Source organism: Homo sapiens, chromosome 1 (assembly GCF_000001405.40).
Source record: "Homo sapiens chromosome 1, GRCh38.p14 Primary Assembly".
NCBI classification, from domain to species: Eukaryota; Metazoa; Chordata; class Mammalia; order Primates; family Hominidae; genus Homo; species Homo sapiens.
Window position 1 is genome coordinate 201,815,746 of NC_000001.11, and position 18,999 is coordinate 201,834,744.

Here is an 18,999-nt window from a genome sequence, read left to right on the forward strand (position 1 = left end):
TTGTATTTTTGAGACGGAGTTTCACTCTTGTTGCCCAGGCTGGAGTGCAATGGCGGGATCTTGGCTCACTGCAACCTCCACCTCTCAGGTTCAAGCGATTCTCCTGCCTCAGCCTCCCAAGTAGCTGGGATTACAGGCATGTGTCACCACGCCCGGCTAATTTTGTATTTTTAGTAGAGACAGGGTTTCTCCTTGTTGGTCAGGCTGGTCTCGAACTCCCAGCCTCAGGCGATCTTCCCACCTCGGCCTCCCAAAGTGCTGGGATTATAGGTGTGAGCCATCGCACGCAGCTGAGAATAGATTTTAAGTGTTCTCACCACACACACAGAAATATGTGAGGTAAAGTCAGGTGCAGTGGCTCACACCTGTTAATCCCAGCACTTTGGGAGGCCAAGGCAGGTAGATCATCTGAGGTCAGGAGTTCAAGACCAATCTGACCAACATGATGAAACCCCATCTCTACTAAATACAAAAAATTAGCCGAGCGTGGTGGCACATGCCTGTAATCCCAGCTAGTTGGGAGGCTGAAGTAGGAGAATAACTTGAACCCAGAAGGCAGAGATTGCAGTGAGCCAAGATTGCACCATTGCACTCCAGCCTGGGCAACAAGAGCGAAACTCCCTCTGGGAAAAAATATATATGTAAGGTAATACATACGTTAATTAGCTTGATTTAGCCATCCCACGGCAAATACATATTTCATAACATCATGTTATACATCATAAATGCATATAATTTTTGTTGATTAAAAAATGAATAAAATAAATTGAAAAAATAAAAATTAAATATTTTTTAAAGTTTTAATACAATCTGCTAAATTATCCTCCAAAATTATTTTACAATTTATACCAACTTATTTCCTTGTTTGGAAACTCAGGAAAACTCCACAGAAATCAGAGCCTCGAGGATTTACATTTGAGGAAGTGCACTTTTTTTTTTTTTTTTTTTTTGAGGCAGAGTCTTGCTCTGTCATCCAGGCTGAAGTGCAGTGGCTCACTGCAACCTCCGCAGGTTCAAGTGATTCTCCTGCCTCAGCCTCCCAAGTAGGTAGGATTATATAGGCACGCACCGCCATGCATGGCTAATTTTTTTTTTCTTTTTTCTTTTTAGTAGAAACAGGGTTTCACCACGTTGGCCAGGCTGGTCTTGAACTTCTGACCTCAAGTGATCTTCCTGTCTTGGCCTCCCTAAATGCTGGGATTACAGGCATGAGCCACTGCGCCTGGCCAGGAAGTGCATATTTTTAAGGAGCCTATTTTTTGTAGGAACTACCAAAAGACTGCATGAACAAGCCTCTAATCTGTTAATTCCCCACAGTAATCATATTTCACCTTCTTTCCAGGTCCATGGACAGAAAGCTGCTTGGGAGGACCCAGTGGAATGGGTCCGGGACACACTTCCCTGGCCATCAGCCCAACAAGACCAATCAAAGCTGTACCACCTGCCCCCACCCACCGTGGGCCCTCACAGCATTGCCTCACCTCCCGAGGATAGGACAGTCAAAGACAGCACCCCAAGTTCTCTGGACTCAGATCCTCTGGTGAGTAGAAGCCATTCTAGAGTAAAAATAAGACTATTATAGAACTGAATTATTGACCAGCAGGGTGGCTCACACCTGTAATCCCAGCACTTTGAGAGGCTGAGGTGGGAGGATTGTTTGAGTTCAAAACCAGCCTGGGCAACATAATGAGACCCTGTCTGTATTTCAAAAAAGAAAAAAATAAGTTAAAAAAAAACCCTGAATTCTTCACACTTTTCATACATACACTGATGGGGGCCTGGAGAGTAAAGAGTGAGCACTAGCAAAGCCAGGACCAGGCTAAGGCCAGTGAGGAGCTCTAAATATCAGAATCTGGGGTTATAAAGATCATATGCCTGAGACCTGGCTTAAGCTAAATAATAGTGCATCCCAGCAAGATGTATTCTAGCAAAGACCCAAGTCTCAGGTAGATCTCATGATGTAGGAATATCAACCAAAGAAGTAGAGCAGTAGGGCACACTAGCACTCTCTCTACTTCTGCTTCTCCTCTGACGCTATCCTGAAGACTACTTCAGCTAAATGAGTTCATGGAACTCCTGTAGAAAGCAGGCTAAGCCAAGTACAAACTGGGGGAATATCTGCAATGCCTGTAGCCAGAAAAAGACTGGTATCTAAAATATCTAAAATTTCCAAACAGAAGAATGGATAAAAGATATAAACAGCTGGGCACAGTGGCTCACACCTGTAATTCCAGCAGTTTGGGAGGCTGAGACAGGAGGAGGATGGCTTGAGGCCAGGAGTGCAAGACCAACCTGGGCAACATACTGAGACCCCATCTCTAGAAAAACAAAAAAATTAGCTGGGTGTGATGGCACATGCCTACAGTCACAACTACTCAGGAGGCTGAGGTGGGAGATTGCTTGAGCCTGGGAAGTTGAGGCTACAGTGAGCCGTGATTACACCACTGCACTCCAGCCCAGGTGACAAAGCAAGACCCCATCTCTTAGGAGAAAGATATGAAGGCCAGGCGTGGTGGCTCACACCTGTAATCCAAGCACTTTGAGAGGCCAAGGCGGGCGGATCATGAGGTCAAGAGATTGAGACCATCCTGGCCAACATGGTGAAACCCCGTCTCTACTAAAAATACAAAAAATTAGCCAGGCGTGGTGGCAGGCACCTGTAGTCCCAGCTACTTGGGAGGCTGAGGAAGGAGAATCACTTGGACCCGGGAGGTGGAGCTTGCAGTGAGCCGAGATCACGCCACTGCACACTCCAGCCTGGCGACAGAGCGAGACTCCCTCTCAAAAAAAAAAAAAAAAGATATGAGTAGACATTTGGCTAGAGCAAATGCAAATGGCCAATAAAAACATAAAAGGATCCTCTGCCTCTCCAATAATTGAGGAAATGCAAATTAAAACAAGAGATACCACTTCACATTGGCAAAAGTAGTATGTATGGAAGCATAGACTTTTATACTCCGCTGGTGGGAGTGGTTGTTGATAAAACCATTTTGGAAGATAATTTGGCAGATTATATTAAAACTTAACATGCGCAAATCCTGTGACCTTACAATTCTATCTTTCCCATAGGAAATTCTTCCAATAATCATAATACATTTTTATTAAAATTTTGACTTTGTTAAAAACAGATGCTATCTGTATAAAAATGCTTTTAAATTGGAAGCTTATTAATAATCACGTAGACAGAAGAGAATTGTGGAGAGCAGATTCAACAGAAAATGCACCAGGCTTACTTAGCTGAAATGGAAGTACCAATCTTGACGTGTCCAGAGAAAAAAGTAAGTAAAGAGAAGGAAGTGAGTACATAGAGGTATTTAGACTTGACATGAAGCAACACGGTTGGTAAGCTGGAGAGAAATAGGTTCATAATAATACAGTGTCTAGCTGCTGGTTTATACTCTATTGGAAGGGGAAATTGTTATTTTATAGCATTTCTCACATTCCTCCCAGTATTCGTTGGTATGTTCAGGCCTTCCCTCCTCTCCTGGAGTGCAAGCACCCTGCAGGCAGAAGTGGTCTCATTCTTTTTTGGTATTCCTCCATAAATGGTACCTTGTCCCTTGTATAGCAGGCATACTCCCAAGTAATTGTTGTACATACACATGTGTCACAGTTATCATTGAAGAAATCCTCATTGCCTTTTCACAAACCACTCTAAACTCTGAGCTCTTCATCACTGAGAAACCAAGGATCAGACCCATGATCTAGATTTTTTTTTTTTTTTTTTTGGAGACAGAGTCTTGCTCTTTCATCCAGGCTGGAATGCAGTGATGATATCAAAGCTCACTGCTGCCTCAAACTCCTAGGCTCATAGGCTCGAGTCATCCTCCCACTTGGGCTTTGGCATCCTGAGTAGCTGGGACTGTAGTTGTGTGCCACCACGCCTGGCCAGTTTTTTATTGTTTTATTTTTATTTTTTGGTAGAGTCAGGGTCTCTCTTTGTTTTCAAAGCTGATTGCAAACTCCTGGCTTCAAGCTATCCTTCCACCTTGGCCTCCCAAAGTGTTGGGATTTTGTTGTTGTTGTTTCCCTTCTGTGGGCAGGACCCAGAGTCCCAACTCTCATAAATCCATCTTTTTGCCCCCCTTTAGATGGCCATGCTGCTGAAACTTCAAGAAGCTGCCAACTACATTGAGTCTCCAGATCGAGAAACCATCCTGGACCCCAACCTTCAGGCAACACTTTAAGGGTTCGGCAATCACTGTCACCCCCGGACAGCAGAACGCTGGCATCAGCTATCTTAGCTCCTCCTCTCCCCTCTCCTCTTTCAGAGCACTGGCTCTCCAGCCCCAGGAGGAGAACAGGAGGGAGGAGGAGATGAAAGAGGAGGGACAGGTTCTTGGTGCTGTACCTTTGAGAACTTCCTAGGAAGGAATGGTGGGGTGGCGTTTGGGAACTTGTGCCCCCTAAACACATTTACTGGCCTCCTCTAATGACTTTGGGGAAAAGATGATTCTGGGTCTTTCCCTTGACTTCTTGTTTCAATTACAAACTCCTGGGCTTTCTGGGGAGGGGTTCAGAAAACATCAAAACACTGCAGCAGTTCCTAAATGATTCTCACAAGCAACCCTGAGAGAGACAGTCTTGTGAGGGAGATCTGGGGGAGGCAGGAAGCTCCTCAGATTTTCTCACAGACCCTTCCCAATTCCATCACCACTGCCAACAACTCCTCCCCCAGAGATCTGGCTGGAGCCCAGAAAAAGAAGCATGTGGTTTAAAAAATGTTTAAATCAATCTGTAAAAGGTAAAAATGAAAAACAAAAACAAGCAAACAAACAAAAAACAATGGAAAAGATGAAGCTGGAGAGAGAGGAACCAGTTGCCAAGGTAGAGAGCTGCCCGCTCCTGCCCTCTGGATGACATAGGGGACATCAACAAGACGGCTGCCAACCTGAGAAGTCACCAAACCACAAAAATAACCTTACAGCCTTCAGGGAAAGACTACCAGCTCTGTCTTTCTACCCTCTAATTTAACAATGCATAAGAGTCAATAAACCCTACTTTTTTATTTTTGGTTTTTATTTTGTTTTCATTTTTTTCTCCCATTTGCCTATTTATTTTTTTGTTTCCCTTTTTTTTTTCTTTTTCCGTTTTTCCATTTCCTCACATGTCCACGAGATGCTTGGGTTGCTTTTCCAGGGGCTAGTTTGGCTTTTCCAAGTGGGTTTTCTTTGGAGAATCTGATGCCATGCAATTGGCATGACACCTGCCATGCCACTATCTTTGGCATCCATGGGGCTTATATGAGACATGAAGCATTGGCTCAGAAGTAGAGGGAGAAGAGGAACCCAGTTCCCTTGACTTCCCTTTTGAGAGCACACGTTCTGCTGGGTAGCTCAATTGCCAGCCTCTGTCATGAGAAGGTATAGCCCCATCTTGATAGAAGAGTTACTCCGAGCTTTATCATGGACCAGAGGAAAACCAGAAAACTGAAAACATTCCTCTGTCTTGTGGCCAGTTTGGCCTTTCACTGCACTATTCTGATGGTGCCTGACTGAATCCAAATATCCTAGCTGGCTCTTACTATTTTTCACAAATGAGTATTCACATATAAGAGATGAACATCCATGTGAGATCATCCCAATCAGAATATAAGACTCAAGGAGTTTGACTTGGTGGCCAATACCTGCCTTCCAAAGAGATCCTACCTTTGCAGATTTGCTCCTTTCCCATTGCCTTGAAGGTCTGGCAATCCCTGTTCTTTCATTTGACAAGTACTTACTGAGTACTCACTATATACAAATCATTAGGTTAAAACAGACACACACACACACACACACACACACACACACACACACACACACACAAGACCTGGGCCCTTAAGTTTACAGTCCAGCAGGAAATGTTAACCTCCATTCAGCTACGCCCCCTTGTTATCTAGACCTTCGGGATCATCTAAGAAATGTAGCTGAAACCCAAGGAGCCAGCTAGAAAGAAGCTTTTGATTAGATGTACAATACATTGGGGGCAGAAGATCTGGGATCAATTAAGATGGAGCCTGAAGGACTATGGAATCTTGCTTGTCAGGAATGGGCAAGTCTACTTCCTGCCATTTCTGAAAGCCCCGCGGGACCAGCTTCTAGGCTGAGCTGCCTAGTAGGCTGAAGCTTCAGGACTCTGCAGGTCAAGGATATGTGATGAGCACCGGCCTAAGTGTTTGCTCTTCAGATTCCTAAGTAGCACAAGACTTTATCAGAATCTATAGGCATACCAACCTGGATCACTCTTCCACCCAACCGAGGAGTAGATGCATCTGAATCTTCATATCGGTATATTAAGTCCAAAAGATGGTCCGGGCTGCCCCTCACAAAAGCTTCTGCATCCACGTGGTAAGCTCCCATGGATGACAGGGTTCTGTATGATGGAGACTATTATTGCTATTGCTGCTAATTCCATGAGCTGTGAAGATCCCTAACCAACTCAGCTGTAACATATGCAATTCTGTGGTGGGAAGAGGCTGTGTGTCCAAGGATGGTGCTGAAATCACTGCCTTAAGGTCTCTGCTGTGCAGAATGAGGAGGCCCCCGAGCTGGCTGTTCTAACTTAGAAGGAAGAGAAGACTGGATGGGCCTGCTTGGGATCTAGGCCTCTTCTAAACCCTATCCTAAGCTCCAGTTCCATGGCAAGGCTCAGACTTTTAATGCCATCTTAATCTGATGGTTGAGCGCTTCACTCTATTTTCTGGTGCTGCCCAGCCAGTGCCTTCTGCCATGGATGTTACTGGCTACTTGAGAAAAAGGAGAGGGGAGAACCCCTTCTTTCATTCCAACTGCCTCCGACCCCAAAGGGATTCTTGGCTCTCTGGTAACCATGGATACCACCATGAATTTTATTTGGATCCTCAGCAGGTTGATTCTGGAGGCCTCATGCTATGACTTTTTATTTCTCTTCCTGGGATCCACCACCCTCTACTCTCAGCTGACTGCTGCATTTAGGCCAGGTCTCCAATTGCTTTCCTCCAGAAAGTGTGTTCCCGTCTAGTGAGGTAGTATTGAAGCCTCGGCTTTCCCTCTGGAGCCTGGGACCCTGTTTACAGTTGCACATCTGGGCCCCTCACTGTGGGGATTGATCATTCTCATGAAGGAATCACAGTTATATGGCAACTGCAGAAGGCTGAGCCTCCTCATGGTGCTATAACCCCTTGGGACACTCATCCAGACTTCTCTGAAGCAGAAAACCTGAGCTCCCCACTCACTGCCCTAGAATTTATGGCAAGGAGCAAATCTACAGCATTCTCTCCCACCTACGTCCTGCTTCTTGGTTGAGACTACTGGGATCCTTCAGAAAAGAAACACTGGGTCCCATAGCTAAATTCTCAACCGCCAGGCACCTTCAGAAGAATCCAGCCTAATACTGGAATTTGTGCTATTATCTTCCTCTCCAGCCCCCCAACTCCATCCCTCACCACAGTTGTCTAGGAAATGACATGAATTCAATATCTAATGTCAACCAATGGGGAGAGCCACAACTCCAGGAGAGGTTCCTGAGCTGAGTCCCTTAATTTCTGGATGAAGAAGACCAACAAGTTTTGTCCAATGTATTTGTTTCTCAGACCTTGCCTAGGCACTAAAAATAAAATACTAGGTCATTGGAGGCTAATGTGGGACCTGATGTCTGCGTGTGTGTGTGTGTGTGTGTGTGTGTGTGTCTCCCTCTCTCACACACACAAGAGCAGTTTGCTGTTGCTGTTTCCTACCTTCTGAGGCTTCAAAGTATTTTTTAAAATCTATGCTTTGTGGCAGCTCTACGGTGCTTATCTCTGTCTTTGTGTCAATCCTTAAGTACCCATGTCTTTTTCATGTCTAACCATTGGGAAGGTAGAGGCTGGCAGGGAAGACAAATCTGCTACAAGTCCATGGGAAGACCCTACAATGAAATGTTCATTGGTTGGTATACTGTTTTAGTCTTGAATTGCCAACTTTCCAACTGATCTATCCATATTCCTTAAGTACTAAAGACAAAATAGAGGGCTTCTTTTTCTCTCTTAATGTCTTGCCTTCTGGTTTTCCTGGTTTGCAAGACTAAGTGTACCTAATCTCACCATCTCTTCACTTCTAGCTCTCTGAAACAAGGGTCACACTACTCAGAGGGATAACCCCTTACAGTGGTCTGAGGAGTAACTATTTCCTAAAGTATTCTAAAAGAGTAGGAAGAGAGAAATGGTAGCCTGCTGCTTCTCACAGACACCTCACATCCTCACTTGGGATGGCATCCACATAGAAACCCTGCATTTAGGTAAAATTTGCCTGACTGAAGGGGACTCAGTCCTCCAAATCAAGGTCAAGAAGATATCTGCATGAGACCTTAAGAACTCTTTATTGCCATTATTTGGAGAGGGCGGGGGAATTGTCCTAATCACACATTTAACACAGGGAATAAGTGCTGAAGTGACCCAGATCACCAAGCGCAGTTCCTCATCATACTTTATTTTTGCTTTCCTTATTCCTTGGCACTGACTAAGCTAAAGTTAAGAAGCCGACTTCATAAGCCAACCCCTGTGATGGGATGGAAAAATGGGCTTTTGCAGAGGGTTTATTAATAGAGATGGATATACTACTCACAAGTTCTGGCTCATGGCTCCACTGAGAAGGCCATAGTAATAAAATGATCTTATGAACACTGTTCCCCAAAGGCCAAAGCCTGAAGATATTGCCCCTTATAATCCAATCAGCCTTATATTTTAATAAGTCCTGAATCAACCTGACTACGGATATATGGGGCCACCAGGGTGCATGGGTGCATGTCTGCTCAGCCTAGCCCTGGAAGTGAGCACTGCCGGCCACAGATCCTGGGAAAGGTGGTAGTAACCCAGAAGATGTAGCCTTGAAGGGAGGATACCTATCAAAATGCCAAAGCTGCAGGGACACGAAGACGGTTGAAAATTCAACCTGTGTATACTAGATCCTTCCAGTTTGATGGTTTGGTCATTCTTCTTCATGATTATACCATGGAGAATTTTCTGTGACAAGGGTGGTCATGGAAGTAAGTGAGTGATCCCCTGGTTTCTCATTCCTTAAAGCAGTGGTTCGCAAAGTATGGCACAAGACCAGCAGCATCAGCAGCCTTTGGGAACTTGTTAGAAACGAAAATTCTCAATCCCATCCCAGATCTGCTGAATCAGAAACTCTAATGAGAGGACCCGGCAATCCACGTTTTAATAAGCCCTCCTGGTGATTCTGATGCACACTAAATTCAACTGTTTTAAAGGGAAAGCCCTTTATAGTATTGGAGTTCCCACACTGAGAGGCTTTGGGGCCCAAAATAAGAAGGTTCTAGGTTGTCATTCAGACTTTAACATTAATTTCAAAGTCACCTTTCTCATGCTTCCTTGTGTTTCTGTTTTTCCATTTATGATTTTAACAAAGAAAGGTATGTGTGCTTTTGGGTGGAAGTTAGGAGAATGTTTGTGTCTTTCCTAGTTGAATACAACCTTCAGAGAAAAACCTTATGCCTTGGAAATTACTACCTGGCACACAAAGGGGCTTCAACAAGGAAAAGCAGTTGGAGGTCTCTTCCAGATTGCTCTTCTGCCGAATTATTTGTATCTATTCCGAGCTGATTATGTAATAGGATGGAAAAAGTAAAAAAAAAAAAAAAAATCTAATTTGTATTTCCATGACAACGTGTTCTCCCAGCAACATCCCTCTCCTTTATTTGAGTTATAAAGGGCACTGCTGGGCCTGAGAACCAGGCCAGAACCTCCTTCTGTATGGCAGCTAACAGTGTAGGGCTCCAGTATCCCAGGAAGGCCCCTTATCCACACTCCACTCAGCTCATAGGAGAGTCTTGCATAATGAAGACACAGACCTGGGCACTTCAGTCCTTGTGCTCCTCCTCTCTTTTCCCCACAGCAGGACCTGGATACAGAAGTACTCAGCCAAGGTGACAGAATAAAATCCTTTTTTTGTTGTTTTCTGTTTGTTTGTTTGTTTTGGAGAAGGAGTCTCGCTTTGTCACCCAGGCTGGTGTGCAGTGGCACGATCTCGGCTCACTGCAACCTCCGCCTCCCAGGTTCAAGCGATTCTCCTGTCTCAGCCTCCTGAGTAGCTGGGATTACAGACGTGCGCCATCACGCCCAGCTAATTTTTGTATTTTTAGTAGATACGGAGTTTTGCCTTGTTGGCCAGGCTGTGCTGGAGCTCCTGACCTCAGGTGATTCACCTGCCACAGCCTCCCAAAGTGCTGGGATTACAGGCGTGAGCCACAGCACCCTGCCAAATAAGATCCTTTTTAAAAAATATCTGAAAAAAGCTTCATATCTTTACAAACTCATAAAATAGCTGATTGGGCCATGGAGGAGATGAGGCTGTTTAGAACTGGTTTTGTTTCAAGTTTGTCAATTTTCCCTGTATGAGAACTTGGGTAAAGCACAAAGAAACATACAGTGCTAGTAACAGGTCTCCTGCGCCCTGGAACTAAGTGTTTGGAGGAAGGACTAAACCCCGGGGGAGGTGAGTATAAAATAATTCCACTAAGATCACCTCCTCAGTCCCCAGAAGGCTGATGGTGGATCCTCTGGCCATCTCCTGTGGGGTCTTACTGCTCCTCTGCCATTTCTCTATGCCTGAAGACACGAAGATGATATCAAGGCAGAGCTACCATATCGCAGCCAGTCTCTAGGCTACTGCTGTGCAGTGGCTCCCACTTTCTAATGCTTTTTTGTTTTTGCTTTTTCTAACAAAACAATCTTTTTTCAAAATGAATTCCAACCCCTGCTAGCTTCCTTCCCCGCCTCCATACTGTTTTAGGCAGCACCGTTTATGTGACAGAGTCCGTGTTTCTCAAATGCATGGTGTTCCTCAGGTGGAGAGTGGGCAGAAGTTTTTGCAACACTTTTTTTTTAAGTTATTGGGTGCAAAATCCCAAACCAGGATATGTGTATGTCTGTGTGTTTATGTTTTTTATTTGACCCTCCCCTCTTTCAACCTACCCCCTTTTATATCTAATGTAGAAAAAGCGAAATTGAATCTGGAAAGCAAACTGTTGTATATAGTTGCGGTAACAATCATGAAGAGAGAGCCGGGCTGTCCCCTCAGTAATTCATTTTAAATAACAAATTATTTAAAAATAAAATTCATGCCAGAGCCAGCTGAAGAGGCCTTCCTTCATCACCACTGAGGCCACCCCCAATCTGGGCCCTCTGTCCATCTGGCATGTCTCCTCCCAGCAAGATTCATCTGTTCAATGCCATTTGCGTTTCAATAAAGTTATCTCCTGTACTGTCCACTGGTTCTCTAGCTCCCTCTCTGCCTGGTTTCTGTCTCCATTTATCTTGTGGCCCATTCCTTGATTGGCAAGGCCAGACTGCTTGTGGTCATTTGCCTAACCCAGAAGTAACCTGAAACCCTAAGCTAGAGTCTCCTGACTCCCATGGTTGGGGGTGGGAGGAACCCCTGCTCGCACATTATGGACATAGAATCCTTCACCGGATCTCAAAACATCCAGCCCAAACATCAAGGCTCCGGAGTCCTCCATCTGGGTTGCTGCAGTGTTTGAAAACATACCACCCTCTTGACTTTGCTAAATTTTCTTCTTGGGGTAAAAGTGAACTGACCTATTAGAAGCTGTTGTAATCAAGTTCAACTTCTTTTGGCCACTTCAAGAAAGTAAATAGGCTTACTATTCCCCATTGCAAAATTGAAGGGTCCAAGAAGCAATCTTTTCCCTATGAAATTGTAGTAACATAACTCATCTCTGCCCTCTTAACATGGGAGGTGACAAGTGTGTTGAGAACTCTCTTCAAGCCAGTTGCAGTGGGTGTACCTGTAGTTCTAGCTACTCTGGATGCTGAGGTGGGAGGATCACCTGTCCAGCCTGGGCAACATAGCAAGACCCCCCCAACTCAAAAATAAATAATTGAGAAAGCTTTCTTTTGAAGTAATCTTCTGATGAGATGACTTAATCCCTGATTGTTACCAGTCCAGCATCCACAGTCTTGGAAGTGACCTAGGATTTGGTAACTCGTTTCCTTTGCCATGTGAGAATGAACTCACTTGATAAGGGTTCCTGGGAACCATTTTGAAGGCACATAACCTGAACAGCTCACTAAAAAATACCTGTTTCTGTTTGCTCTAGAACCTCCCATTCCAACAACATTCTATCCTTTCTGCCACTACATGCTTGCCACTCTGCCCTGCATTTTTTTTAATTTTTATTTTTTTTTATAGACAGAGTCTGTATATCTTGCCCAGACTGGAATGCAGTAGCTATTCATAGGTGTGATGACAGCACACTACAGCCTGGAACTCCTGGGCTCAAGTGATCCTCCTGCCTTGGCTTACATCTTGCTTTTTCTTCTTTTTCTGAGACAAGATGTCACTCTGTCGCCCAGGCTGGAGTGCAATGGCGCAATCACTGCTCACTGCAGCCTCCTCCTCCTGGGCTCAAGTGATCTTCCCACCTCCACCTCCCGAACAGCCGGGACTACAGGGCGTACGCCACCACGCCTGGGCAATTTTTGTATTTTTTTGTAGAGACGAAGTCTCGCTATGTTGCCCAGGCTGTTCTCGAAATCCTGGGCTCAAGCGATCCTCCTGCCTCGGCCTCCCAAAGTGCTAGGATTAGAGGCGTGAGCCACTGCGCCTCGCCACACCCTGCATTTTTAACACCTCACTGGAGCGCTCATCCTCTCCACCTGCTCCGCTATTCAGGAGCGGCTCTGCACCGTAGGCCATTTCCCACGACCAGCTGCTGACAACCATATCATCAAACTGCTCTTGTTCTCGCACCCCTTAAATGTCCAGCCATAATTTCTCAGGGAAAAAAATTTATACATTTTCAACAAATAGGATTCATTCTCAAATAGTCACATACAACACTCACTCTGGAAGAAACTCCCTTTCACATGCCGGTGTCTCCCCTGCCCAGCCACTTCCCAGCTTTGAGGTTGGGCTCATCTAGGCTGGAAAACCAAGGGACTGGGCCGTGGTTTTCCCACTTCCACTTCCCAGTTTGCTTTAGTTTATTTTCCCCCCTCTTTGGATTCCTGAGGCTAAGATGAAGAGAGTCACTTGAGCCAACTTTTTTTCAGTGTTTGGGGGGAAAAGAATGTGGTTTAAAATAGGGGCTATTTGTGACCCAGACCTCTCTCCTTAAAGCCCTCTACATCTATTCCCATCCCGCCTCCTCTCTCCTAACACCTGAAAGATGCATGAATATAAAGTCATATATCATGAACTTTATTCCAAATGAGATTGCTAACTTACTGTGCAACTTTAGGAAAGCCCCTTAACCTGTCTGGGGCTCAGTTTTCACACAAATCCAGAGATCCTTGCAGAGAAAGGTGCAGTTCTCGTTCAGGCAGCAGGAGGCGCTGTCTCTGGAGGCTTAGATTCATTCCCCGCCCTCCGCCCGCTCCCGCCCGCCTCTGGTGCGCAGGCGCGGCTTCGCGGATTGGCCGCGCGCGGGGGCCGTCATTCGGTGGCGGGTCCCGGCCGCGGGGCTGGCGGGCTGAGGGGAGAAAAGATGGCGGCGGCGGCGGCAGCTGGTGCGGCCTCCGGGCTGCCGGGTCCAGTGGCACAAGGATTAAAGGAAGCGTTAGTGGATACGCTCACCGGGATCCTATCCCCAGTACAGGAGGTGCGGGCGGCTGCTGAAGAACAGATTAAGGTGCTGGAGGTGACGGAGGGTGAGTGAGGCGGGACCGTCACGAGGATGGCTCAGCCGCACAATCCGCTGACCGCAGCTCCGTACCGGCTGGGGACATGGGGAGCCTGAGCCAGTTGGAGATGTGGGCGCCGAGAAGTGGAGCAGGAAGCGAGAGATTGATGTCGCTGGTGGTTGTGAAAGTCCGAGAGAGGAGAGGCGCGCCTGAAGGATAGGGTCGGGGGAGGTGGAGCCTGGGAGTGGGGGAGGGAGGGTGGAGACTTGAAAAGATAGATGGAGCCTAGAATCTGCAGGGGACGGAGATGGAGCTAGACTTGGTGCTGTTGGAGGAAGTAGCGCGGTCGGGGAAATATTTTTTGAGTCCAGGACCAAAGTCTTTCGCTGTTCTCTTCACCAGCTGGATTGTACTGGGATAAGAGTAGGGGGAGCTATTAGTAGGAGTGGTGAAGGGTAGGGCCTCGAAAAGGCGGCTATCAAAGCTTAATAGATGTCATCAAACAAGTTTCTGCCTCTGAGTTATAAACCTAGCTAGTTGTTTGTACTCTTCGTGTTTTCCCAGAAATTAAATGCATATGCGATTGCTTCACTGTCCTGACCATACTTAACGTTTATTTTAAAAATAATTTGCCCTTATTAAATACCTTTGTGCATTTCTGTTTGGAGGAACTGATCATCCTTTGTTTTTGATTCTTTGTCTCCGTCCTCTATTGTGTGCTTTAAAGTGATGGAGAAGAAAATAAACCATTGGTTCGAGATTTTCTATCAATTTCCTGCCGCGTGAGCCTTTCACCGGGTCCAGTGTAGCTACCACAAAGAACAATTTAATCCAGAAACAGGAGGAGAAATCTTCTTGGTCTTTGTGTAAGAAATATATCTGGTCAGAGCTTCACTGGAACTCCAAATCCTCAGAATCTCCCAACTCAGGAATATTTCCACCACCACTTAAATACTTCATCAGAGATATGGGAAATTGTCCCATCACACACCCATCATATTCAAAACCTTCAGTTAGCTCTCCTACTGGACGTATTTCTATTGAAAAGAATTTAGAACAAATCTCTCTTAAATTTAGTTTACATTCTTTCACAGTATGAAAGAGCTGTTGAAAACAAATTTTCTTCTGTTGGAAATATGTTAAGATTTGGGATCTAACAGGCTAAGGACCATTTTGAAGGCCCACTTGTAATTGTCATTGTTTTATAAAATATCAGATCTATACAGGAGAAACCACTGGTTAGGAGAAAGCTGTTTGAGAACCATGTATAAACTAATCTAAAGGAATTTTTAGCGGCTTCTAAATAAAATTCGTTTATGCACATTAATGTCTGTCCCCCTTGAGTATGAGGAAGGAAGAGTGACAAAGCAAAGGAACCTCATCACATTCAAGTTGTCACCTGAATAAAACTTGAGAGTCTGGTGCAAATTCATCTTAACTAAACCTTCCCTGAGTGGTACCCAGTGCTCCTGGTGCTCCAAATGCATGTCTGGCACCTTTGTATGAAAGGTGGACCTTGACTTGTATTTAAACTGTCTTACAACAACTCCACTTTTGCTCTGATCTTTTCAACTTTAGCCAAATGCCATGGTCTCATCTGGGCAAAGTCAATTATAAAGTTCTCGAGGTCTTTTTTGAAACTCTGATTCCTCACTTTATTCATCTTTTTTTTCTTGAGACTGGGTCTCGCTCTATCGTGTAGACTTTGGAGCAGTGATGCCATCATGGCTCACTGCAGCCTCAAACTTTTGGACTCAAGCGATCCTCCCACCTAGGCCTCCCAAAGTGCTGGGATTACAGGCCTCAGCCACCACACCTGGCATCTTTTTGAGCCTTTAAGTGAAAAATTAAATTTCAGAAGTACAGAATTTTGATCTAAGTCACTGATGAGAAATAGATCGACTGCCCCCCGACCCCCATAACTTACTGGTAATGTGCTGTTGGGCAGACTATGAGAATGAAAAGTATGGAAAGGCATCGATGCAGTGACCTGATATTGGTGATCTAGTAATAGAGCATATGACTCAGGTTTTGGATTTGGTTAGAGGGTTGGATCAGTCTCTGGAGTTTAGTGCAATGCTTCGGACCCTTTGGAGGCTGCTTGTGTCTTTTAAGTAGTCTGGCTCCTTAATGTCTATCAAAAAAACTATAGAGATTTACCCCCTTCTGTACCTGTTTTAAGGTGGAGAATGGCGGTCCATTCCCTCAGATGCGGTCTGCTTTCTTCCTCTTGTGGCCTTTAACAAGTTATCTTTGACATTGGGTTCAGAGTACCTCCCACCTTAAACTCTGTCTGAATCTCTCAGATGTTTTCTGAACATGGTGCAATATAGTAGCTGCTTCTTTACCAGCCTCAACCCTTCTTTACATGAAAACATAGAACCCAGCTTTCCAGCCGGGATTTAGCCAACTATCTGGCCTGATGAAACTGGCAGGACATGGTTCCTCCTATTAGAATGCCCTACAGAGCAAGATGAGCCATTCTTGCAAACTACTTTCCACTTCTTTGGTGTTGCTTCACATTTTAGTGTTTTTTGCTTTTGTTGTTGTTGTTGTTGTTGTTGTTGTTGTTTTGAGACAGAGTCTCAGTCTGTCGCCCAGGCTGGAGTGCAGTGGTGCGATCTCGGCTCACTGCAACCTCCGCCTCCTGGGTTCAAGCAATTCTCCTGCCTCAGCCTCCCGAGTAGCTGGGATTACAGGCACCTGCCACCATGCCTGGCTAATTTTTGTATTTTTAGTAGAGACGAGGTTTCACCATGTTGGCCAGGTTGTCTCGAACTCCTGACCTCAGGTGATCCACCCGCCTCGGCCTCCCAAAGTGCTGGGATTACAGCCGTGAGCCACTGCACCCAGCCCACATTTTAGTTTTACCCTGGTAGAAGGAACCTTGTTTTCTGATTCTAGGAAACACTTTTTTTTTTTTTGAGACCGAGTCTCACTCTGTGGTCCAGGGCCCAGGCTGGAGTGCAGTGGCATGATCTCAGCTCACTGCAACCTCCACCTCCCAGGTTCAAGCAATTCTCGTGCCTCAGCCTCCCAAGTAGTTGGGATTACAGGCATGCACCACCATGCCTGGCTAATTTTTGTATTTTTAGCAGAGGCGGAGTTTAGCCATGTTGCCCAGGCTGATCTTGAACTCCTGAGCTCAAGCAGTCTGCCCACCTCAGCCTCCCAAAATGCTGAGATTACAGGCATGAGCCAACCGGCCAGGCCGGAAACACTCTTAAAACTTGAAGTTAATGAGAAATCTGGGATTTGGTGTCTATTATTATTTGTGTTCTGGTAATCTTTTGATCATTTTTTGGTTCCATGGGGCCCAGGATCAGGTGACAACCAGATCTAGTCCTCCCTCTGTCCTCTCAAATAACCACACTGTCTTTGTGAGCTGTTTATTAGTCCATCACATAGGAGACTGATCCCACATGGTCTTTAAGATTAACTGGTCCGTTCCCTTTGCCAAAAACATTTGTTACCTTCCTTGGCTACCAGGTGATGATCCCTTGTCTTGAAGATTAAATGGAAGAATATCTAATTTATGGGGAAAGGACACAGGTCAATTGTCAACTCCCTGTTAAAAGGACAGGCAAGAGAAGTTGACATGCTGTGACCAAATTGTACTATAGATGAGATTTTAAGAAGCAGTTATCTTAGAAAATAAAGATTGCTGGAGCCTAGAGTAGTCCTGATCATTTAGTGTACCAGCTGATATTTTCTGATAAATAAATAAATTGCCTATAATTAATTATCACATTTTCCAGAATGGGCACCTGTTCTCTTAAGCCAAGGAAGTGTGTGTATGTGAGAGATCCATTTGATTCATGTAGCGTGTCAATCTGAAAAGGATAAGATAGGTTACTTCATCAGCCTGGTGTCCTGGAATGATTTTTTTTTTTTTTTTAATTTTATTTTTTGAGACAGAGTCTCGCTCTGTCACCCAGGCTGGAGTGCATTGGCATGATCTCGGCTCACTGCAACATCCGCCTCCTAGATTCAAGTGATTCTCATGCCTAGGCCTCCCAAGTAGCTGGGATTACAGGCGCGTACCAACACGCCAGGCTAATTTTTGTATTTTTAGTAGAGATGGAGTTTCACCATGTTAGCCAGGCTGGTCTCGAACTCCTGACCTCAGGTGATCCACCCACCTTGCCCTCCCAAAGTGCTAGGATTACAGGCGTGAGCCACTGCGCCTGGCTGGAATGATTTTCTTGAGCCCCTGTGCTTGCTATTTTTGCTAGTCACTTGGAATCTGGAAGAAACCCAGCAAACCTCTCTGAATATTTAAAGTCTATTTAACAGGGCTAATTAGATAAGGAGATGATGCCAGTAACCACCTTCATCAGATAGCACTCCCATCCTGAATTGAGAAGAACATTGCTTGAAAGTTTGGAAGTTATTATGGTGTACAGTATTCTGCAGATAATTGTTAACCTTTCATTTTTCTTTCTTTCTTTTTTTTAAGATACAGAGTTTTGCTCTGTCACCCAGGCTAGAGTGCAGTGGTGTGATCATAGCTTACTGCAGCTTCTAACTCCTGGGCTTACGCAGTCCTCCCAACCTCAGCCTCCCAAGTGGCTGTGACTACAAGCACATGCCCATACTTGGCTGATTTTTTTAGTTTTTTTCTGGAGATGGGGTCTTGCTGTGTTGACCAGGCTGGCCTTGAACTCCTGCCCTCAAGTGATCCTCCTAAAGTGCTGAGATTATAGGCATGAGCAACCACACCTGGCCCCTTTCATTTTTCTTAGGAGGATTGAGATTTTGAGTTTGATCAGGTTTGTAGGAAATTTACTTCTACCTAAATAGGGTAAAAAAAATTTTTTTTAAGTTTTTTTATTCGTTAGAGTAAAAAAACTTTTCTTTTCTTTTTTTTTTTTGTTGCACTGCTAAGAGTCTAAAGCATGCTTTCTAATTCTGTTTTGTTTAATAGGCAGGTTCATATTAAGCACTTTACAAACATAGTAGTTAAAAAGACTGGAGAGGTTATGAACCACCGAAGATCTCTTACGTCAAAGTCTCATATTCTGTACTCAGCTTCATCAACTCTTTTTCTTTTGTTTTTGTCTGACTTACGGTGAGATCATGAGAATTACCATCTTTTGAGAATGTCAGCCTTTTATTTTTGGTGTATTCGTGCTTTATTTTTTTATATCTTAAAATGAAGTTCTTTCCCTCTTTTTCTACTTCTTTCTCTACTTTTCCTCTAAGAATGGCATTATCCAAGTGGTGGAATGGGTTGCTTTCATTCAGAAGCTTTAATTCTTCGTGCCAGCATGCACAGACTTTCTTACATAACTAGATTTAGACCCTAGGACATTTTCTTCTTTGCTTATTTCTTTTTTGCCTATTACAAATGATGACATTTCCCCTATCATTTGGCCTTGTCTAGTTCCCAGTAGATA

At 44.8% G+C, this 18,999-nt stretch overlaps 2 protein-coding genes and 1 long non-coding RNA gene across 11 annotated transcripts in view, besides 5 other annotated features; 2 read left to right on the forward strand and 1 right to left on the reverse strand.

Moving 5' to 3' along the window:
* NAV1 (neuron navigator 1) overlaps positions 1-11,224 on the forward strand; it is a 287,843-nt gene extending 276,619 nt beyond the window's left edge. For all 9 annotated transcript variants that reach the window (NM_001389617.1, NM_001389615.1, NM_001389616.1 and 6 more), the window contains 2 exons: positions 1,343-1,540; positions 4,092-11,224. In NM_001389617.1, the coding sequence (NP_001376546.1) occupies positions 1,343-1,540; positions 4,092-4,187 (294 nt within the window). In that variant the 3' untranslated portion in view covers positions 4,188-11,224. The remainder of the gene's footprint in view (positions 1-1,342; positions 1,541-4,091) is intronic.
* The window catches only part of IPO9-AS1 (IPO9 antisense RNA 1), a 141,304-nt gene extending 127,490 nt beyond the window's left edge, over positions 1-13,814 (reverse strand). The window contains exons 1-2 of the long non-coding RNA NR_046696.1: positions 13,206-13,814; positions 1,482-1,556 (exon numbers count right to left, since the gene is read on the reverse strand). This is a non-coding gene — a long non-coding RNA (IPO9 antisense RNA 1). The remainder of the gene's footprint in view (positions 1-1,481; positions 1,557-13,205) is intronic.
* Positions 12,011-12,525: an enhancer, noted in NCBI's record as "H3K4me1 hESC enhancer chr1:201796884-201797398 (GRCh37/hg19 assembly coordinates)". NCBI's record gives its function as "activates a minimal SCP1, AML or CMV promoter by ChIP-STARR-seq in primed H9 embryonic stem cells {active_cell/tissue: H9 hESC(primed)}" and the evidence as "EXISTENCE:reporter gene assay evidence [ECO:0000049][PMID:30033119]".
* Positions 12,526-13,039: an enhancer, noted in NCBI's record as "H3K4me1 hESC enhancer chr1:201797399-201797912 (GRCh37/hg19 assembly coordinates)". NCBI's record gives its function as "activates a minimal SCP1, AML or CMV promoter by ChIP-STARR-seq in primed H9 embryonic stem cells {active_cell/tissue: H9 hESC(primed)}" and the evidence as "EXISTENCE:reporter gene assay evidence [ECO:0000049][PMID:30033119]".
* Positions 13,196-13,490: an enhancer, noted in NCBI's record as "tiled region #13839; HepG2 Activating DNase unmatched - State 1:Tss, and K562 Activating DNase unmatched - State 1:Tss". NCBI's record gives its function as "activates a minimal TATA promoter and a strong SV40 promoter by Sharpr-MPRA in HepG2 and K562 cells {active_cell/tissue: HepG2 | K562}" and the evidence as "EXISTENCE:reporter gene assay evidence [ECO:0000049][PMID:27701403]".
* Positions 13,212-13,451: a silencer, noted in NCBI's record as "silent region_1695". NCBI's record gives its function as "represses an Ori minimal core promoter by ATAC-STARR-seq in GM12878 lymphoblastoid cells {active_cell/tissue: GM12878}" and the evidence as "EXISTENCE:reporter gene assay evidence [ECO:0000049][PMID:35858748]".
* The window catches only part of IPO9 (importin 9), a 55,135-nt gene continuing 49,547 nt past the window's right edge, over positions 13,412-18,999 (forward strand). The window contains exon 1 of the mRNA NM_018085.5: positions 13,412-13,627. Within this exon, the coding sequence (NP_060555.2) occupies positions 13,465-13,627 (163 nt within the window). The 5' untranslated portion in view covers positions 13,412-13,464. The remainder of the gene's footprint in view (positions 13,628-18,999) is intronic.
* Positions 13,502-13,711: an enhancer, noted in NCBI's record as "active region_2322". NCBI's record gives its function as "activates an Ori minimal core promoter by ATAC-STARR-seq in GM12878 lymphoblastoid cells {active_cell/tissue: GM12878}" and the evidence as "EXISTENCE:reporter gene assay evidence [ECO:0000049][PMID:35858748]".